Source organism: Homo sapiens, chromosome 21, assembly GCF_000001405.40.
Source record: "Homo sapiens chromosome 21, GRCh38.p14 Primary Assembly".
Taxonomy (NCBI): domain Eukaryota; kingdom Metazoa; phylum Chordata; class Mammalia; order Primates; family Hominidae; genus Homo; species Homo sapiens.
The window spans coordinates 31,207,300-31,230,289 of record NC_000021.9 but is presented as its reverse complement, the minus strand read 5'-3'; the positions used below and the strand labels follow the sequence as shown (position 1 = coordinate 31,230,289).

Sequence of the window (22,990 nt, the reverse complement as noted above, 5' to 3'; positions counted from 1 at the left end):
TATTTTTATTTAAATTCTTAAGTTCATAACATATATTCAGCCGAGCTTGCTGTCAGAAATTTCAGATCTTTCTATCCATTACTCAGGTATTATGTCAGGGTTGTAGGTATTTCCTTTTCTTACTCTGTGAGTTAGGGGGTGAGGGTAGGGGCTGGGAGGTTCTAACTGAGGCAGAGATGAGAGAGGTTTGCCTTGAAGATATGGATGTGGACCGCCCCTGAGCTTCCACCTGCCAGGTGTTTGTGCAGGAACCATAGCCTCTCCTTAGTGCTGCGTGCGCCTCTGCAGGGATTGCATCTGGATGCCCACACATTATCCTTTAAAAATGGGTGAAGATGGCCGGGCGCGGTAGCTCACGCTTGTAATCCCAGCAGTTTGGGAGGCCGAGGCGGGTGGATCACCTGAGGTCAGGAGTTCGAGACCAGCCTGGCCAACATGGAGAAACCTCATCTCTACTAAAAGTACAAAAATTAGCTGGGCATGGTGGCAGGTGCCTGTAATTCCAACTGCTCGGGAGGCTGAGGCAGGAGAATCTCTTGAACTTGGGAGGCGGAGGTTGCAGTGAGCCGAGATTGCACTGCTACTGCACTCCAGCCTGGGCAACAGAGAAAGATTCCATCTCAAAAAAAAAAGGGGGGGTGAAGACACGAACTCCCCTAAAATCTAAAAGCTCCTCATTTCCACTGAGCGATACAAACAAAATGGAAAGCATGTTTCGGGTCAAGGAACCAGCTTTTTATCAGGTACTACCAGGCACTTGGGAGGACAAAGAAATAAATGGTGGAGAAGGGTGAAGCTTTTTGGAACTTCCTTTGTAGTTTTGTAAGGACAGTTTTTAATGAAAACCGGAATATGAGGTATCATATTTTTAGCATAGTTATAGAAAAATTATACTCAAATATTAGGATAATATACCTTGGAAGGATGTTCTTTGAAACTTTCTATGATAGTTTAACGTATACACAGAAAAGGCACATTTTGATGGTGTTTAACAAACTGAACACACCCCTGTCATACACCAGCACCCAGCACCATGTAACTAGCACCCAGATGAAGAAACAGAAGGTGGCCAGCACTCCAGAAACCTTACTGTGCTTCTTACCAGATTCTACCCATTGCATCTCATCCCACCAAAAAAACCTGCCCTCTCAACTTCTAATACTGTATATTAGTTTATCTGTGTTGATACTTGATATGGTTTGGCTGTGCCCCCACCCAAATCTCATCTTGAATTGTAGTTCCCATAATCCCCACTTGTCGTGGGAGGGACCCATTGGAAGGTAATTGAATCATGGGGGCGGTTACCTCCATACTGTTCTTGTGAAAGTGAGTGAGTTCTCACTAGATCTGATGGTTTTATAAGGGGCTTTCCCCCCTGCTTTGTTCTGCACTTCTCCTCGCTGCCACCGTGAGAAGAAGGACGTGTTTGCTTCCCTTTCTGCCATGATTGTACGTTTCCTGAGGCCTCCTCAGCCATGCTGAACTGTGAGTCAATTAAACTTCTTTCCTTTATAAATTACCCAGTCTTGGATATGTCTTTGTTAGCAGCATGAGAATGGACTAATACAATACTTTATATAAATAGAATCCTACAGTATATACTGCAGTGCATCTGATTCCTTCCCCAACAAGATGTGTGCCCAGTTTATATGTGTTAATCTATAGTTATAGGTCCTTCATTCTTGCTGTATAGTATTTCATTGTGTGATTATCCCACATATTCATCCATTCCCCTATTGGTGGCACCTGGATGGTGTCCAGTTTCACCCATGATTTGCTGCTGGGCATGTTCTTGTGTGTATATTTTCGTGTGCATATGAGTGCATTTCTCTTGAGTGTGTACCCAGAGTGCATTTTCTGGGTCACAGGGTATGCATATATTCAACTTTAGTAGGTAATATCCAACAGCTTTCTAAAGCAGTTGTACAAGTTTACTTTCCAGCCAGTGGCCAGCAGTGCATAGGAGTTCTGGTTACTCCATATCTTTGCCAACACTGGGTATTTTCATCTTGGATTCTTTTTTTCCTTCCTTTTTTTTTTTTTTTTTTTTTTTTTTTTTTTTTTTTTTTAAAAAAAGGAGGCCGGGCATGGTGGCTCACACCTGTAATCCCAGCACTTTGGGAGGCTGAGGCAGGCGGATCATGAGGTCAAGAGATTGAGACCATCCTGGCCAACGTGGTGAAACCCCATCTCTACTAAAAAAAAAAAAAAATACAAAAATTAGCTGGGCGTGGTGGCACATGCCTGTAGTCCCAGCTACTCGGGAGGCTGAGGCAGGAGAATCACTTGAACTCGGGAGGCGGAGGTTGCAGTGAACTGAGATCGCGCCACTGCACTCCAGCCTGGTGACAGACAGACTCCGTCTCAAAAAAAAGGGCTGGGAGTATAACCCCACCTAACGAGATACCCATTTATTGTGAGGCACTGGGAGATCCAATGATCAAGCTTTGTACAGTACATCAGCAGGAGCAAGCTTGGTGCTCTCATTAGATGCAGGAGAGCCTCTCTTTTTCTGGTGGAACTTCAGGATGATATGTAAGGACAAACTATAAGATAATGACCTGCAAAGAGGAGACAACTATAAAATAAAGTGAAGCAAATTTAATCTCATAAATAGACATGCATTTTTCCTCCTAAGTTTCTCAATCTACAAGTCCTCACCTGTGGCTTCCGGTTTCTTTATCGCCTCTCCTCCTCCCACTCAGTCTTTACAAAGTGATTCCATTTGCTTTATCAGGTGGTACTTCTGCTGTTTCTTCTTCAGATTGTCTAGCATATTGAAATGTTTATCCACAGGCAAAATATTTGTTATCCACATAACAACTGCTGGACCAGTTAGGTTTGCCCAGTGGGAGGTGACTTTGTTGGCTGACACCATTTTTAATATTTGATGCTGTTTCTTCTGTGGAATACAAAACTGATCAGATTCAGAAATAATAAAGATAAAGTACTATCTTGACTTAAATTCCAGCTGCCAGCCAGCACAGTGTCATGTGCTGGTGGGTTCCTGTTAATAGAATGTTGTTTACAAGTGGCTGGGCAAGATGGCTCACATCTGTAATCCCAGCACTTTGGGAGGCCGAGGCGGGTGGATCACTTGAGGTCAGGAGTTCGAGACCAGCCTAGGCAACATGGTGAAACCCTGTCTCTACTAAAAATATAAAACTTAGCCGGGCATGGTGGCACACACCTGTAGTCCCAGCTACTCGGGAGGCTGAGGTATGAGAATTGCTTGGACCTGGGAGGCAGAGGCTGCAGTGAGCCAAGATCGCGCCACTGCACTCCAGCCTGGGCAACAGAGCACGACCCTGTCTCAAAAAAAAAAAAAAAAAAAAAACACAGAATTTTGTATACAAGCCATCACTCAAATTAGTTAGAAAACTAAGAAGGCGCTTCAAAGGAGAAAAAACAATGAAGTGTTTTTGTGCATGAAAAATAATGTTAGTAGCTCCTTTAGTATTGTAGTGGCTGAATAGATTATTTCTTGAGATGGGCTAACTTCTGAGCATTTGTTTCACCTCTCTGGGCTTAAGAGAGTATCTGGAAAAGTCCAGTATCTCCTCACTTGTAAAAACTCATTGATTGAATTCCTAAAGAATCATTAATAGCGAGTTATCACATGTGCTGTCTCTTGAAAACTATTCTGACTTTTGCCTTTCAGAACACCGAGTCACACCAATCCCATGCAGGTCACCATTGGTGGGTGTCGCTCACCATTTTCTTAATGCCCTTCTCAAACAGGCCACTTTTAGCACATGGAGTGTTGTTGGGCGGCTGCAATTCTTAGAGGGTTCCATAGAGTCCCCAAAGACGGTATTTCTTCTGGCTACCTGACCACTTCCCCAACCCTAGTTCTGTCTTGCTGCTTAGCACCAGGAATAGGACCTTTGGATTTGGGTTGCAGTGGTTCACGAGGGGCAGGGCTGTTGTAGCTTCCTATGTCAGTAATGTCCCTCAGTCCCACTCATGTCCTATAACTGACCGATCCTATCTGGAAACTGACCTTTGCTTCACAGCAACCCTCGTGAGTAGACACCAAGTTGTGTGTTAGGAGTATCACTTTCACAAGTGAGTTCAGTAAGTACATTGAGTGAGCAGACATGGTGGCTTCATTCAGGACAGCCCTTGAAAGGGAGGAGGGGAGAGTGGGCATCTGACCTGAGACTCACTTTTTGTTACTGATTTCCTGAAGAAAGAGGAGGTCAGGTTATTCTTATCCATGGGTGTCTAGACCTGTCACCTCGACTCCCAGGCATTGCTTCTCTGGAAATGCTCCGGTTCATTTCTCTTAAGTTCCTAAGAGGTGCCTTTTTCTTCCTGCCCCTTCTTCCTGGTACAGACCACTAGCCAGACGGAGCTTGAAAACTGGATCACCGCCATCCACTCTGCCTGCGCCACTGCGGTCGCGAGGCACCACCACAAGGAAGACACGCTCCGACTCCTGAAATCAGAGATCAAAAAACTGGAACAGAAGATTGACATGGATGAAAAGATGAAGAAAATGGGTGAAATGCAGCTGTCTTCAGTCACTGACTCAAAGAAAAAGAAAACAATATTAGATCAGGTAATCGTTCTTCCGTGTTTAGGTCCGGACAAAATTGTTAGGTCTCTAAAAGGGTTTTTTTTTTTTTTTGCTGTTTTGGAATCGTGAAACATCATCGGATATCTCCTCGACAGCCTGTCATCCAGGATGCTAAGTTCTTTACTGTGACTGTCAGTGTTCTTCACCCTTTGTTCATAGCTGATTGTTAATAGCTAAACGGAACAATATTACATTGAATGAAAGACAGAAACCCAGTAGAGGAGCCCTGGCCCCCATCAATGATGTGCTCTTCTAGGGGATCTGTGTAATTAGAAAGTTTGCAATTTCATTTCCCATGTTATCAGACTGACTTGGAGTTCTCTTATGGTGGGGACTCATTTCTGACTCCTCAGTAAATTTTGAATTCTTAATTTGGAAAAGGTAACGTACATTAAAAATATATATCTGGCCAGGTGTGGCGGCTCATGCCTGTAATCCCAGCACTTTGGGAGGCTGAGGTGGGCATACTCGCTTGAGCCCAGGATTTCAAGACCAGCCTGGTCAACATGGCAAAACCCTATCTCTACAAAAAAAATACAAAAATTAGCCGCAACTGTAGTCTCAGGAGGCCGAGAGGAGAGGATCGCCTGAGCCTGGGAGGCAGAGGGTGCGGTGGGCCAAGATTGTGCCATTGCACTCCAGCCTGGGTAACAGAGCAAGCTCTCTCTCTATATATATAGATATATATAGAGAGAGATATATCTATCTATCTATCTAGATCTAGATATATAATTGCTTTATATGTGCATAAGTATATTTCATGCTAAAGAAAAAAGATTTAGTGAAATGAACAAAGCACATTTTTGCCTGCTATTCAGCTGTCAGTAATAGCCATCTGGTAGTGCTTTGACACTTTGTCCTAATGCTCAGGAAATAATTACATGAATAAATGATATTTAAATCATTGAACAATTGACATGGGCCTTCCACATTTCTCTCCCTCTGGGGTTTCCCTTTGTTACCTGACATTGTATTTTTTTAAATTGAGGCAAAATTCACACAATGTAAAATCAACCATTTTAACACGAACAATTCAGTAACATCGAGTACGTTTACCATGTGGTGCAAACACTCCCCCATCTAGCCCTGAAATTGTTAATCTGGCCCAAAATGTAACCCTGTACCTGTGAAGCAGTTGCTCCTCTCTGCCCCCGGCACTCTGTCTTCATGGATTTGCCTATTCTAGATATTTCATATGAATGGAATTGCACAGTACGTGGCCTTTTGTGTCCGGCTCCTTCCCTGAGCTTCATGTTTTGGAGGTGGATACACATGGTAGCATACATCAGCACTTTACTCCTGGGTTCTGGTTGTACGTATACACCATGGTTTGTTTATTGGCCATTTCTTGATGGACATTCAAGCTGTTTCCACCTTTTGCAAACAGTGCTGCTATGAACATGTGTGTACAGTGATATATATTTTGTTGAAGCAAAAAGGGAGATTTCAACCATTCCTCATTATCTGTACCATTGTCAGCATCACTGCACCTTCACTCTATGCCAGACCTTGTACTTATGCTTGTATTATCTTTTTCAAACATCCCAACAGCCTAAGGAGGTAGTTATTATTTTGCCACTTTGAAAAATAAGGGAATGTCTCAGAGACATGCTACAGTTGGAACTTTGTATTCCAGAGTCTGGGTCTCCACCATCTTGTGTTCCACTTCCACCCTGTGTTCCGGGCTACCCCGCTCTTCCCAAAAGCACTTGGTCCATTGCTTCTAGCCTTTCATTCGTCTCACTTTTCTTTGTATGAAAACCTACCTCTTGTTAAGTCATATAGTTCTTTGGTGATGGAAATCTCTACATTTTTACTTCTGGAGTCTAGAGTTTGTGGTCCAGATCTTGGAGTTGATAGACCTATCATGCCCCCAGTACGAACTCCAAGATAGGAGGGAACAGAGGAACTTGTCACTTTCTATTTATGATGCTGAATTTATGGCTATAGATCTTGCAGAAGAAACATAAGTAACTAAGAAACTTAGGTACCTGTTGTTTATTCCTTAGGATTATAATGAATGCCTTTACGACATATAGATCTGTATAGGATAAAGATATTAGCATTTGTTTCCCATTTTCTCACTTTTTCTTTTCCCGTGTTTTCACTACCATAGATCTTTGTCTGGGAGCAAAATCTCGAGCAGTTCCAAATGGACCTGTTTCGTTTCCGCTGTTATTTAGCCAGCCTTCAGGGTGGGGAGCTGCCAAACCCCAAAAGGCTTCTCGCTTTTGCAAGTCGACCAACGAAAGTGGCCATGGGCCGCCTTGGAATCTTTTCGGTATCATCGTTTCATGCCCTGGTGAGTAGAAGCTAATGAATTTTTGAAAAACATTAAGCTTGACGCTTAATCCTGAGCAGGACTTGACAAGAGTCTCCTAAGTGTTTTTCGAGCTTCCTGCTGTGTATGGATTTCTGAAATGCCCTCCCTTTGCAGTGGATGCAAATTTCCATTTAAACCTGTCTGGAATATATTACTTAAGCATCTATCTCTTGATGGGGGGGCCTAAGCTATTGTGCAAAGGAAATATGAAGGGTACCATCTTCAGCGCTGTTCACATGTAGTATTTGTTGATAGCTCTTGTCATCTTTAGACAGTGTCATGTTTGGAACCCAAATACATATTTTTTATATAAACTTGGTGGGAATGGTGAGTGGAGTGCTCACTCTCATACATCAATGCATTCTCAGGCTGGGCGCAGTGACTCATGCCTGTAATCCCAGCACTTTGGGAGGCCGACGCAGGTGGATCACCTGAGGTCAGGAGTTCGAGACCAACCTGGCCAACATGGTGAAACCCTGTCTCTATTAAGTGTACAGAAATTACCTGGGTGTGGTGACATACACCTGTAATCCCAGCTACTCAGGAGGCTGAAGCCTGAGAATCGCTTGAACCTAGGAGGAGGTTGTCACAGTGAACCAAGGTCGCACCACTGCACTCCAGCCTGGGTGACAAAGTGAGACTCTGTCTCAAAAAAAAAAAAAAAAAAAAAAAAAAAATATATATATATATATATATATATATATATATGTATGTGTACATGTATGTATATATACACACACATACATACACACATACACCATATATGGAACACAGATCTCTTTGGAGCTCTCCATTTCACTTTATTTTTACCATTGTTTTGATGACCACGAATACCCGATGCATTAGAGCAAGGCGAAGAACTCTGTGATTCGCCAGCTGAACATATATGCATTGCTTGAGGAAGGGAATTTCCATCTGACCTCTAGAGCGGCAGATTGTATAGTTGTGTTGTGTGTTTATAATCTGTAATTTCATGTACTTGCTAAATTGCGAGCAGCTTTGTGTACTTTTGGCTCCTTCTCAAAAATTGCTGTATGAGTAACATGGTTTTAGTCTTTCCAAGTCGACACCCACTTAGAATGTACTGCACCTTAGCACATTTGCTAGAGAATTAAATGTTAAGTCTCAGGTTCCAGAAACTGCTTTGTAAAACCTTAGCTGTGCTGTTCTTCTCTTGCTTTGTCAGCTGTACCCTTCAATTGCATTCAGAGCTATAATTCAGTCAGAGGCGTTTGTATTCTTTATAAATAGATTAGCATCATCATTCAGATAATTAGGGGTAGATTTACATTTTTAAAGAAGTCTTAAACCAATTTCTGGAGTTATTAAAACTGGCATCCTGATTTGTTCTGCTAATTACAGCTCAGCTCTTGGTCTCCCTGGCTACCACCTCTCCATACAGCTATTAAATCCTGTTTTTTCAGTAGTGGTGGGACAAAGTGCTGTGTTGAATAAACTTACAAAACGTTTTCAGTTTTTGACTCCAGATCTATTTCTTGGAGACCTGGACACCAATTTTTAACTTAGCCAAATCTCAGTTCGCCTATTCTGCAAAACAAAAATAAACAAAAAAACTAGGATAGAAATTCTTCTTTATCTCCTTGTCAGAATATCATCCATTGAGGACGCATTTTTATGAAGGGAACTCGTGATGTCATCGAGGTACCATCTGTATTAATACCAAACCCGGAGCATCGAAGTGGCTTCCTCCTCTTACTGTACCTTGCTAGATTTTGGAGAAAATAATTTTGCTTTCTCCCTAAAACTTGTATGCTTTCATTATTTTCTTCAAAGCCACTGGGCGCAGCCTCCCTGAGAAGGTTACCGTTTTACTCTTCCATAATTCATCTTCGGACCCTCTAATTTCCTTCATCTCAATGTCTGTGATGTGTGTGTACTTTTCTTTCAGGGGGGCAGGCTATTAAAATTTGGCCAGCTGAAGATGGGGATGGGAGAGTTAGTTACTCTGAGGTGTTTTGGTCAGTGGTTTTAAAGAACATTGAAGTCCATACGTTCAACTCTCTGTTCCTTTCTTGGGTTTTTGCTCGCTTTGTCAGTGATACAAGTCTGGGTGTTTCAATATGTTCCTGCAACTTCTCTTTTCTATGAGGGGTTTCATTTCAGCCGGAACAAGTCAGGCGAGCCTGTTGGGTGTCTGTTCCTATTTGTTGCTTTAGCTCCTGTGGAAGATCCCGGGCAGGGAATTTTGCAGTCTGATTTATTAGGAACTCTTATTTTCTTTCCCTCCTCTCCTTGTCATTTGACCCCTGGGATTTTTTTTCTCCTTGGGGTTGAAACATTCTTCAATTTAGTCTTTGTCCAGAAATTTTTTTTCTTCTTTTTAGTGGGGGAGGAGGAAGGAGGAGGTGTGAGGGTAACAGGGCTGGGTAGATTGGGGAGCTACAATTGAAGTAGCATTCACTGAGAAAGCTTCCCATAATGCTGAGTGATTTGCAGTAATTAACTGAAGGGTCCTCGCTGTACTCTTTGAAAGAAGGTTATCATTGTTCTTGTTTGCACAGATGAGCAGAATGATAGAGTAATCAGGTTCAGGCCACAAAGGGAGGCATTGTCTGGGCAAAGATCATTGGGAAACTCTTGAGCTCTGGTCCAGCAGTTCTTCTGCCAGCCCTTTTTCTAAATCCCTTTGCTCATTTTGAGTCATTATTGTCTTGGGGATAGTGGTTACTTTTGCAGTTTACAAGGCCCCAAGCAATTTAGAATTACTGCTTATAAGAAACTTAAGTAAAGTGTTTGTTAAACAGACTAAACTAACTAGTCAGCTGATAACTGAGAATATTTATGGGTGTATGAATTTCTCTTTCATGCTGTCTTTGTCTGGAAATTGTAAACTGAAGAGTTTTCTTTTTTCTTTCTTTTTTTTACATTATACTTTAAGTTCTAGGGTACATGTGCACAACGTGCAGGTTTGTTACATATGTATACATGTGCCGTGTTGGTGTGATGCACCCATTGTTGTCACCGTGTTATATAGGATGTGCTTTTGCTTTGTGGTATTTATGTATTTATTTGTTCAAGCAACAAATGTATGTAAGTGCCTGGCATCCGTCAGTTTTATCCTTGTGATTAGGACTATAGTGAACAGCGCAGAGATCCTGTCCTCTTGAAGCTTATATTCTTGTGGGAGAGAAGGGTAAGAAATAAGTAAACAATTAACTAGACACAGTAAGTACAGGTATTGCTGTGTGTATGAAGAAAGCAAACAGTAATATATGTCGACGTATTTTATACGGTTGCCTCTATGTATGTGTCACTGTTAATGACTGGATTTATTTATAAAATGACTATATGACTGTGAGGCCAAATGGACATTTTTTTCCTCTAGAATTTAAAAATTTTTAACACCATTTATTCAGTGTTGACATAGTCATGTGAGCATATGCATGTCTGCATGTTATAATTTATTCCTTTTACAACCTTTGTTTACCTTTAACTGAGAAAGTGATGAAAATAGAGAAGAGAAAATTTTTACATATTTTACGGTGTGTTTGTCTTGTGATTTTGTTCCCTGTGACACCTCCGGTGTAATCTTAGATTAAGATCTTTCTCATGAAAATTCTCACCAGTGTCTTGGATACCACATTTTTCTATGCCCTGATCTGGGGTTTTTTTTTGTTTTGTTTTGTTTTTTTAACGTGCTAAGCTGAGAAAATGCAAAATGCAAGACCTCTCAGCTCCCTCATCTTCCTATTTTTGTTTGGGTCCAAAAACCTTCCCTCTAATACCCTTGTAGAGAAGCCGTTTTGATTCCTGTTTTTAATGTACGTAGGGGTCCCTGCCACCCGTGGGGCTTCTGCGGTGTTTACATTGTCAGTACTGAAGCCCCAGAGGGGCGTGCCTTCCAACCAACACGCTGACTGCTGGGGAGGCCCCTCATGTTACCAACAGTGCCTCATCCCCTGCATTGCTGCCAATTGGCATCTGTCACATTGGGAGTTGCCTGTGTGGGAATCTACAAGTAGGTTCCAAGACATTCACCTCTGGCAACAAAAGAGTGGGTGGAGAAGTTTCATTTCAAGTCTGACTCGCTGTTCCTCCTGCCACTCCCTTTTTTGAAAGGCGAGCGGGTGGGTGGCCCATGGAGACCTTCTGGCAGAAGTTCCCTTAAATTCCTGGGACTTTGCTTGCCACCTGGTAGGATAAAGTTCAAGCCTGAATGTTTTGCCTGGGAGGACTTTCTGGAGTCCTTGTGGAGATTCTACTTGAGCAATTATCCTGGTGACAGATTTACATTTAGGGTGTTCCCTTGTGAAATGCTTCTCTGGAATCGCTCCACTGGACTCCAGCCTGGGTGACAGAGCGAGACTCCGTCAAAAAAAAAAAAAAAAAAAAAAAAAAAGGAAATGCTTCTCTGGGTTGCTGGCACATTGTAATACCTCGACAGAGTTTAGCTTTTGTTCAACAAAAAAATACAAGTTTTCTTTCCCATTTACCTAAACATAGGACATGTAAGTGATGCAAGTCTGGTAAGGTGCCTTCATCTTCAGTGAGCCCAGTCCCTTTTGTCTTGTTATTCTGCCATCCTTGAAAAGGCTTAGGTAGGGACATCCTAGACCACAACACAGACCTTCCTTTTATCAGGAAAAAGAAAACAGATAGGATAGCGGAAAGAATAACAGAAAGCCCCCTCCCATTGAGCACAGTTCCTGGAAGTTGCAAATATTTTTTGCTTGTATGCCATTGACCAGGACTTAAGCCCAATCCATGCCCTACTGCAAGGAAAATAAGTCATCTTGGACTCAGTGGCTGCATGCTCACTTACATATGAGATTCCCCACCCCCCGCTTTTTTTTTTGAGAAAGAGTCTCGTTCTGTCGCCCAGGCTAGAGTGCAGTGGCGTGTTCTCAGCTCACTGCAACCTCCATCTCCTGGGTTCAAGCAATTCTCCTGTCTCAGCTTCCCAAGTAGCTAGGATTACAGGTGCCTGTCACTGTGCCCAGCTGATTTTTGTATTTTTTAGTTAAGACAGGGTTTCACCATGTTGGCCAGGCTGGTCTCGAACTCCTGACCTCAGGTGATCTGCCTGCATCTGCCTCCTAAAGTGCTGGGATTACAGGCATGAGCCACCGCACCTGGCCTACATTTGAGATTTTTCTGACTAAGATGGAATAGAGAATGGATATTGGGGGCCAATGATCACTCGTCTGATTTTAAAACGTGATTTTATATATCCTAAGAAAACAAAATAGTAGAGATTGGTAATTTTAGATTTAACCTGGAAACCCAGGAACCAAAATCTGTTGTTTTTCCACTATTGTTGCTGACGCTTTAGCACCATTTTTCAATAGAATGCAGAAACAGCTCTGTAGCATTTGGAGAGAAAGCCTGGCTCATTTCCCTTGCTGTAGTTCAAGCCTGTGACCAGAAGGACATGTCATTTTTGGAAACAGAACATATATTTTATTCCTATATTATGTATTTTTGCTGATGATTTCAAACAAGGATTGAATTTGCCAGCTTTTCATTTCCATTCTGAATCCATGAAGGGCTCTCAAAGTCCCAATATGTCTGGGTCATGGATTGAATACTTTAGGCATTGGGGTCAGGGTTGGCTGGCATGATGGAGGAGGGTTTTTTGAAGGGTGGGACTTACGGGGACCTCAAGGCACAAGTGGGTGGTCCTGATGCATCTCCCTTGTGGCTGCTTGTCCTTGCCATCCTCAGGTGGCAGCACGCACTGGTGAAACTGGAGTGAGAAGACGTACTCAGGCCATGTCCAGATCCGCGAGCAAGCGAAGGAGCAGGTTTTCTTCTCTGTGGGGTCTGGATACTACCTCCAAAAAGAAGCAGGGACGGCCAAGCATCAATCAGGTAGGTTCCAGAGCAGATGAAAAGTGAGCCCGCACAAATCACTTCTGTGGCCACCTCAATTTGGGGTGTGTGTGTTTCTTCAGTGAGGCCGAGTGTTATTTAAAATCAACTAGTTGGCACAAAGAAACTAGCTGTGCTAGACACTTTTAATAGATAATGCATACCCATAACATTGAACTCTGCTATTAGTCTATCACCAAGCTGCAGTTTCCCACCTGCATCCTTTCCAAACCCTCATTAATTACAGACCTACTCAAAGCGCACAATTCACCCTGAGTCTTCAGGAAAAAGCAGGGCTCTGCAATGAAGCCAAGTGGGTACCTGAGTGCAGTCTTTTTTTTTTTTTGGAGACAGAGTCTCGCTCTGTCACCAGGCTGGAGTGCAGTGGCACAATCTTGGCTGACTGCAACCTCCACCTCCCTGATTCAAGTGATTCTTCTGCCTCAGCCTCCCGAGTAGCTGGGACTACAGGTGCCCACCACCATGCCTGGCTAATTTTTGTGTTTTTAGTAGAGATGGGGTTTCACCATATTAGCCAGGCTGGTCTTGAACTCCTGACCCTCATGATCCACCCGCCTCAGCCTCCCCAAGTGCTGAGATTACAGGCATGAGCCACTGCACCTGGCCATGCAGAGACTTTTTAAGCTGCCTCTGGCACTGGATGAAAGGCAGCCTCCAGGGAATTCTGATTATTCTCTGCCCTTGACTTTTTGGAGCTGACATTAAATGGGCAGATCCTCTGCCTACTGGAATGAGGAGACAGGAATCCGAGAGAGCTCGCCCACTGCCACAGCCCCCTTCTGCTCAGGTCCAGGGGCTGGAACGGGATCTCGGTATGTCGTGAGGGCGCAACATAGCCTGGTGCCGTGACGGGTGTCCACTGACCATGTACAGCCACCCAATTCTTGCCCATTAAATTTGACTTCTTCACTCGCCAAGGCCAGTCTCCTGCTGGGGTTACTTCCGTGAAGCCCACTGTCTGTTGTTACTGTCTTCCTTGTCGTTCGGCTTTGAGAAATGAGTAGCTCCAGAACTGCTTGTTTAGATTTCAGGGACTAAAGGAACGTGAGCATCTGTAGTCTTTCGGAAGAAGAATGTCCAGTTTGTGGGCTGCGGTGGCTGGAAAGTCAGGCCTTCAGCATTTTGGAGGTCATGACTAAGACTGCTAGTTTGACCTATTCACCGCATGCCCTTGTGAAAAGTGAGAGGACGTCATCGACTGACTTGATAGAATGATCTCTCCTTGTTTGCTCGGACAGTTCCAGCCATTAATTTACTTAAGAAATGAATTTTAGAAAAGAGATTAGTCCTGAAAGCTGATGCCCTGAGTCCCTTAGCTGACTGTGATACTCATTGGTTTTTTGGTTTTGTTTTGTTTTGTTTGTGATGGAGTCTCGCTCTGTCACCCAGGATGGAGTGCAGTGGTGCAATCTCGGCTAACCGCACCCTCTGCCTCCCAGTTCAAGTGATTCTCCTGCCTCAGCCTCCTGAGTAACTGGGATTACAGGCACTCACCACCACGTGCAGCTAATAGCTTATTATTTTTATATTTTTAGTAGAGATGGGGTTTCACCATGTTGGCCAGGCTGGTCTCGAACTCCTGACCTCAAGTGATCTGCCCACTTCGGCCTCCCAAAGTGCTGGGATTATAGACGTGGGCCACCGTGCCTGGCTGATACTCTCTGTTTTAATGTGGCATTTCCCTATCCTTGATGGAACCTGCGGAGAGCAGATGAGCAAATGCTAAGCGAGTGTGAGACTGAAGCAGTTTCGCAGTTTGTCTTGTGATCTTTGGGGAGAGTAGATCATTGAGCTTGCTTCCATGGGTTTTACTTTTATGTAAATCTAAAGAAAAAACTGTGGAGGAAAGTCAACATTTCATCAGAAAAATAACAAAAGAGACTTGATGGTTCTCAGTTAAAACCTGCAAAAAGGAGGACATGAACCATCAGCATTTCTCTTCTTTTTTTTTTTTTTTTTTTTTCTTTTTTGAGACAGAGTCTCACTCTGTTGCCCCAGGCTGGAGTGCAATGGCGCGATCTCAGCTCATTGCAATCTCCGCCTCCTGGGTTCAAGTGATTCTCTTGCCTCAACCTCCTGAGTAGCTGGGATTACAGGCGCCTGCCACCACACCCAGCTAACTTTTGTGTTGGTCAGGATGGTCTCGAACTCCTGACCCTGTGATCTGCCTGCTTTGGCCTCCCAAAGTGCTGGGATTATAGGCATGAGCCACTGCGCCTGGCCCATTTCTCTTCTTCTTTTGGGAGGTGGTGGTGTCATTGTGTATGTGTCTTCTGCCCTGAGAGATGGCTCAGCCCACTGCTTCTGGACTTCACAGTTTGGACTTGTTTTCTAACAAAACCCTTTGTTCATGTGCTTCTGCTTGATTGGCACCAGGTTATGTTACCGCCCTTTTCTACTGAAATATATGACTGAATTTAAATGAATTCAAGAGAATGTTTTAACATTTTTCTAAAATCAAAGCACAATGTAATGTCTTAGAAACAATTCTTGTATTTTTTCTAAAAGTATGAGTTTTTAAGAACCTTTTGCTTAGCCATAAACATACCAGTAGGAATTTAGTCATTAATTCTATAATTTGAAATGGACAAAAATTATGTTTTTTTGGCCGGGGTGGTGGCTCATGCCTGTAATCCTAGCACTTTAGGAGGCCAAGGTGGGAGGATTCTTTGAGGCCAGGAGTTTGAGACCAGCCTGGGCAACATAGCAACATGCTTTCTCTACCGAAAAAAAGTTAAAAACATTGTATGTTTTTGTATATTTTATTTGCATGGAGGAAAGGCTTTTTCTCAATTGTGTACATTATCCTGATACTACATTCTTGTTTTAGGGATAATCACAAAATTCCTCATGTCCATGAGTTTCCTTACCTAGTGGCATTGTTACCCTATTCTAATTTTCATGGCATCTTTAAGTTAGCAGGATTGATTACATTTCAAGGAAGAGACAATTTTCTATTTTTTAATTAAAAAAACCCCTATGTTGCCATGTTGAGGTAAAAAACTATAATATTCTCACATTCTACTTAAGAATGTATTACAAAGCAAGCAGATTTTTACTTATAAGTATCTGGTCAGGTATATGAGGCTATAGGAGAAATGCTTCATTGTGAGTTTATCTAGCTCATTGCTTTTGCTAGTTTCTTTTCTTTTATTTATATTTTTCTTTTTCTTTTTCTTTCTGGTTTTTTATTTTTTTGTTTTTTTTGAGACAAGGTCTCAGTCTGTTGCCCAGGCTGGAGTACAGTAGTGTGGTCTCAGCTCGCTGCAAACTTGACCTCCAGGGCACAAGTGATCCTCCCATCTCAGCTTCCCAAGTAGCTGGGACTACAGGAGCATGCCACTATGCATGGCTAATTTTCAAATTTTTTATAGAGACAGGGTCTCACTCTGTTGAGCAAACTGGTCTCAAACTCCTGGGCTGGAGCAATCCTCCTGCCTCAGCCTCCCAAAGTACTAGGATTGCAGATATGAGCCACCACGCCTAACCTATTGTCTTTCTCTTTTTACTTTTTTTGGGACAAGGTCTCCCTCTGTTGCCCAGATTGTAGTTCAGTGATGTGATCTTGTGATCCTCCTGCCTTAGCCTCAGGAGTAGCTGGGACTACAGGTGCACCCCACCATGCCTGGCTAATTTAATGTAATTCTTTTTTTTTTTTTTTTTTTGTAGAGATGAGGTCTAACTATATTGCCCAGGCTGGTCTCAAACTCCTAGGCTCAAGCAGTCCTCCCGCCTCAGCTTCCCAAAGTGCTAGGGATTATAGGCATGAGCCACCATGCCCAGCCTATTTTCTTTAAGTAGAGATGAATTATCCATATTTGAGAGCAAACTTTTTTTTTTCCAACTGTCAAACACGTAGGGAAGTGATCTAGATAGAGGGATGTGTTTTTCCAGGTCTGCTCCCATAAATTATTGTACCTGCTTTGGGATTTGATGTAGGAGTATCTGAACACGTGTGTAAGGTTTTGTCATAGCCATGCCCATTTCCTTCCCCCTTCCTACGTTTCGTTTGCCCTGTTGCCCAGATTCCTTTTTAAGGTGGTACTTTTGTATATGCAGGTGTTTGGAGAGGGAACCGAAGCTGTAAAGAAATCTTTAGAGGGAATATTTGATGACATTGTTCCAGATGGCAAGGTAAAAATAAACGTGTGTTTTCTTTTCTAAAAGTACCACAAGTGCATCAACATATACATGGTGCAGTGTTGTCTTGAGCTACTAAAATTAAGTAAACTCAATATTAAAAACTGAAATCAGTTTTTAAAAGTTATGTAATAAGTCAACAAGAGATGGAAAATCATTTTATATTTAAAACTGAGTGGTAGAGGGAACATTCTCCTGCTGACATAACATTTCCCATACTTACCATTTGATGTGTGAGTTTCTAACTAGAATGTAAGAGGAAATTTGGGTTCTGAATAGCTGAATATTTTATGCCATTGCCAATTTCTTTCCATGTACAACTTCTCTTCCCAAGAGGTGTGTTCTTACTACCCTCCCTCTCTGCCCACACATGCTGTTTTGCTCCCATTAGTTTCAAAGAACTGTTCTGATAGCGTGTTCTTTAAAAAAAGAAAAACAACAAAAACGCATTTGCCTCCCAAGTCAAGTATTCAATTAAAGATTCGGCCGGGTGTGGTGGCTCACGCCTGTAATCCCAGCACTTTGGGAGGCCAAGGCGGGTGGATCACGAGGTCAGGAGATGGAGACCATGCTGGCTAACACGATGAAACCCCGTCTCTACTAAAAATACAAAAAAAAAAAAAATTAGCTGGACACCTGTAGTCCCAGCTACTTGGGAGGCTGAGGCAGCAGAATGGCGTGAACCCAGGATGCGGAGCTTGCAGTGAGCAGAGATGGAGCCACTGCACTCCAGCCTGTGCAACCGAGCAAGACTCTCTCTCAAAAAAAAAAAAAAAAAAAAAAAAGATTCACAGGCTTGGTTCAGCCTTGTGCTTGGATTTAAACAGGGGCTTTCAAACTGCTCTGATTGAAAGCCCATAAAAATACTGATTTGTTTTTTAATTGGCCACTTTTTTCAGCCTCTAAATAAATAGACGTCTCTCGTTTTCAAGACCCTAGTAGTGATACTGGGAGCCTGTTTGTGTGGGGGATGGGGGATGGTCTGATGTTGATAATGTGACCTTGGTGGGATCCTCTGGTTCTTGGGCTCAGAATCAATATGACAGAATTCAGCCCTCAGTTGCCATGCATCCAAGTAGTGTCAGTCATCAGTGGCTCAGCCCCATGTTGTAGATGGAGCTGAGCTTCAGAATCCAGAGTGCCATGGGGAGTTCTGCTATTGGAGGGGAAGAGAGAAGAGTGGCCATGGGAAGGCCTTTTCTTTCCTTCATACACAAACTACTCATGAATGATGCTATCCTGGATATAAAGGCCACTGTCCTTGGAAATACTCATCCATGGCCACTGTCTGAGCATCTCTGTCTGATGAAATTTGAAGAAATTCAGTTTTTGGGCCTATGTGCAATCCAAGCATAGTTTTTGATGTTAACTTGGTCATTTCTGAGGTTGGCCAGTTCATCTTGCATACCATTATTAGTCCACATTTAATACTGAGATATCTTCTCTAGACCACAGAACTTGGAAACTGCGAAAGTTTTTCCATTGGATTTCTGTGTAGCATTTTTGGTTTTCCATTTTTCTAAGGTACGTCTTTCTCCCACATCCTGGCTAGAATGCCTTGTTCTCAGAGTGTTTAGATGCAAAACTTGGGTTGATCCAGTGCTAAGGGGCATTTATTTAATGTGGCACACTGGAACAGAGTCTGAATATTCCAATTATACTTAATGGGATTTAGGTATGTTGATTGCTTTTTGACAATTCCTTCCCTGGAGTCCAGCTTATCTGCTAAAGCAACTCTGTTCAAAGGCGAGGCTGAAATTATCTTCCCCAGTTGGATTTAGTTGAATGGCTTTTACGAAAACGTTTCCCCCATTCTTGGATTCCATTCTTCTTTTGAATGGAGGTTATATTACCACCTCTCAGCCTTCATTGGGAAATTTGTTCCTTCTTGTAATTTGCTGATACCAGCCTTGTTCTTGGTCATCAGTAGATACATATTTACCAACTAGTGGCCTGGTTATAAATCAATAATGAAGGCCTATTACTTAGCATATATTGAGCATCAATATTATGTTTACATTGCTGAAATCTAACATCATTCTTTCCTTGCTTATTTCGCGGGGCTCCTAACATTGTATCAATCTAAGGAAAGTAACATTATATCAAGCTAAGGAACATCCTCTGCTTCATCTGCTTAGCTTGCTTAGGTTTAACCCAGCTGCTAAAGGAGGACTTCCGACCCTTCTCCCACATTCACAAACTTCATTCCACTCCCTGGTCCTCAGGCAGTGATGGAGAGGATACAGTGATGGCAGCAAAGGAGGCTTGTTTTTGCTACATTGTGCCATGATGTTATCCGTCAAGTTCTTTGACCTCCAGAAAACTGAATTGTCTCTGGCGCCGGGTCGTGCTGAAGGTCCAAGGAGAGCACAAAAATGATGCTGTCTATAAATATAAATATAAATATGTAGTGCTAAAACATGATCTTTTTGAAAAAAAAAAATGATTGGGGCTTCACCATTGCTTTGAACTGTAAAGTTCTCATGGCAGATGTGCTTGTTGTAGGAATTCCCTGCTTGAAACTTGAAATGAGTTTGTGGAAGAAATAAGAGCCATAAAGCTGAGCTGAATGGTGACCTTTCTTTCTTTCTTTCTTTCTTTCTTTCTTTCTTTCTTTCTTTCTTTCTTTCTTTCTTTCTTTCTCCCTTCCTTCCTTCTTTCTCTTTCTTTCTTTCTCTTTCTTTCTCTTTCTTTCTTTCTTTCTTTTTCTTTCTTTCTTTCTTTTTCTTTCTTTCTTTCTTTCTTTCTTTCTTTCTTTCTTTCTTTCTTTCTTTCTCCCTTCCTTCCTTCTTTCTCTCTTTCTTTCTTTCTTTCTTTCTTTCTTTCTTTCTTTCTTTCTTTCTTTCTTTCTTTCTTTTCCTTCCTTCCCTATCTCTCTCTCTTTCTTTCTTTTCTTCCAAATTTTGATGCCCACTCATTCATGCCGTGATCACCTATGGATGCTGTGGGTTGTGAAGCCTGCCTCACAGCTGAAGTTTGAAATCTCTCCATTGCACCATAAATCTGCTTTCTCAGTAGTTTCTCTCTCTCCAAGGGTTCCCCTGCCTCCCACCACTGCCTCCGCTTCTGCCCTGGGCTGTTTTCATGGGAATCGGTGATTCCTGTGTGCAGTCTGGGAATCTAGGGTTGTCAGAGCTCCACTGCTGCTGCCCTGCTAACTTTATTTCTTGTTATAGAGGGAGAAAGAAGTGGTCTTACCTAACGTTCACCAGCACAACCCTGACTGCGACATTTGGGTCCACGAGTATTTCACTCCATCCTGGTTCTGTCTGCCCAATAATCAGCCTGCCCTGACGGTCGTCCGGCCAGGCGACACTGCACGGGACACCCTGGAGCTGATTTGCAAGGTATGGAGCTGCTTTGGGTTGTTTCTCCAAGAAGAGCAGAATGGGGTGTAGCAATCTTCTAAGGCACATGTGGAAACCCAGAGCCGTGTGGGAGAGGAAGGTGCTTAAAACACACCTCCCTTTCATTTCGGAGCAGCATTGCATTCCTTTGTGATAGTATTCAAAATTATATTAGTGAATGCTTCACCTTTGGGAAGAGAGGAACTCTTCTAAGTAGCATCTTTCAATGTGTGTGTTTGATAGATTTCTAATGCATGTATCACATGCTCATTGCAAACCTTTTAGAAAATCTAGGTGAAGAACACAACAGAAAATTAAGGCCACTCTTATTCACGAAATCCAGAAATAACCATTGCAAACATTTTGGCGTTTGACCATTCATTCCTTTTTCCGCACACATACAGATACATGTGTTCAATGGCATCATATTATGGGTACTGTTCTGTCACCTGCTCTTTAATCAGTAACCGATACACTATGGGCATCTTTAGAATTGGGGAAAATGGAAGGAAATATAAGTTTGACCTCCATTGATGGGAAATTCTTCTTTTGTGAACACAGAATTAGCCTTTTTAGAAACATGACAAATGATTGAGCTCCTTTTCTCTTTCACCTTAAACCATGGAAGAAATGCCTTGATCTTTTTCAAAGTGAACCTGGTTTCATTTTTCCCCGTGAAGGGCAGCCAGGTGAATGGTCTTGAGTGAGGGGAGAGAGAGGAAAGAAGAACTTTACTTGCATGCTTGTTTTTATTTTTACATAATGAATAGCATTAATAGTTCTATGTCGTAGTCGTATCAGGTCTGAGCCTGAGAAAGAGCTGAGACTTTGCCATTGTACACATGGAGGAAGTGAAGCTCAGAGGGCCTTAGCTGCTTGCCTGAACTCACATCACAGTCAGTTGCAAAGGAGAGACTGAACCCACGTCTGGCTTCTCTACAGCTGGGTGCATCCTGCAGTGCCGAGTGTCCACAAGAACTCTCAGAACCTGGGTTAGTCTTCAGGAAGGACAATCAGTAAGGCTCAGAAGAATCTAGAATATATTCTTAGGGGAGTGAATTGGTCTTCTTTGGGGCTGCTAAAAAAAAAAATGAAAAACTTTTCTATCACAATTTTATCCTAGAAGAAGTTGGATGGATGAAATGACGTTTTAAAGATCTCATCATTCAACACAATGTTTGTAAATACTGAATGACTTTCACTACCTCCGCAAGTACCTCAATTTTGTAGTTCTACTATCAGCAATTTTTGTATTTTCAAAAAAGCAAATCACAGACGGCTTTTTAAAGAAAAAACATGGCTCTTCATATGAATCAGAGAAATGGACAGTTCAGCTCAAATTAGCCTCTTAAAATGTCTTATGTATGTGGAGGAAAAATAGAAGAATCACTTGTTTTGGGCCATAACTAAAGTCAGCCCTGACATGGATGCTAAAAATAAATGGTATCACCTCTCTGTGTGCTTTGAATCCTTCATGTACGAGGGTTCTAGCTTTTGGAGATAATGGTATCTCAGTTCACAATTTTTTCATGTTAATTACTTAACAAAATTGGTCTGTAGAGGATTTCTGCATTCCTTTATTTATAATTAGCACAATTCTTTAGAGACCCATTAACATTCTGCAGAGCTGAAGAGTTATTGTCAGATCTGCAGATGAAGGTGTTAAAAGTAGAACTTTCTGGCTTTTTTGTATAAGCCGAACTCTGGAAGGTGTTTCCAGAAGAATAACATGGCTTTGGAGCATCCTGTGCACATTGGCTTTAAACTGGATCAGGAATCGAAGGTTAAGCCAAAGTTTTCCGATTACCATTGATTGGTGGAAGATTGATCAGTGAGTGAAGCAATGAATGATTGGCCCACTTTACGTATGTTTCAAGCTTTTGCTTTGGAAGAAACTAGGGGAATGAAGAATAGTATTGTCATTGACAGTTAGAGACCATATCTAGATAATGTAGTGGACCTGATCCCCTTTAAAGTGTTTATTTCTGTCACCTGAAAGGTTTCTGATGGCATCATTAAGGTACAAAATCCCTTTCTCCAACAGTAAAAGTTAGTCCTGTCCAATTTTCCCTGGGCCTTCAGGTCTTTTTCCCAAGACATAGAAATAAAAGCAAAAACAACGTGATGTGGAACAAGCTTCTATCTCATGAGTTTATGCCGGGCACGGTGGCTCACACCTGTAATCCCAGTACTTTGGGAGGCTGAGGAGGGCAGATCACTTGAGGCCAGGAGTTCGAGAGCAGCCTGGCCAACATGGCAAAACCCCATCTGTACTAAAAATACACACACATAAAAAATCTCATGAGTTTAAAACTGGAAGACTTGTGTGTGCATTTCAGAAATTGATGGTCTTTGGAAAAGCACCCATGTAGGAAAAGTGATATAGTATGCTCAGGGCCAGGTGCCTTCTAAAGCTTGTTTCTTCCTTGGAAAACACCTTATTGTAATTAGTGGATCTGATTTTATTCTTAAGAGGGAAGGAGATAATGGGGAAAACAGTGTCCCATGTTATTAACAATCTGATATAATGGCGAATGGTTTTTTTTTCCTCATTGAAAACAAACATGATTGTAAAAATGCCTGTCTTTTGTTTCATTATTGTTATTCTCAATGTTTGGTGATAGATGCTTTCTCTAATATTTAATAATCAATCTGTTTCTTCTGTCTCTTGCATTCAGCTCATTCTCTTTCCTATTCTATCTGATCCACATCATTTCACATCAGTTTGCCATCTGCCATCTGAGC

The 22,990-nt window shown here is 42.2% G+C and overlaps 1 protein-coding gene across 12 annotated transcripts in view; it reads left to right on the top strand.

Annotated features, from left to right (window-relative positions):
* Positions 1–22,990, top strand: part of TIAM1 (TIAM Rac1 associated GEF 1) — a 440,670-nt gene that overhangs the window by 328,798 nt on the left and 88,882 nt on the right. For 11 of the 12 annotated variants that reach the window (NM_001353690.1, NM_003253.3, NM_001353688.1 and 8 more), the window contains 5 exons: positions 4,340–4,564; positions 6,699–6,884; positions 12,591–12,737; positions 16,818–16,892; positions 20,075–20,245. In NM_001353690.1, coding sequence (NP_001340619.1) covers positions 4,340–4,564; positions 6,699–6,884; positions 12,591–12,737; positions 16,818–16,892; positions 20,075–20,245 — 804 coding nt within the window. The remainder of the gene's footprint in view (positions 1–4,339; positions 4,565–6,698; positions 6,885–12,590; positions 12,738–16,817; positions 16,893–20,074; positions 20,246–22,990) is intronic. The other variant, NM_001353687.2, reaches the window with a different exon arrangement.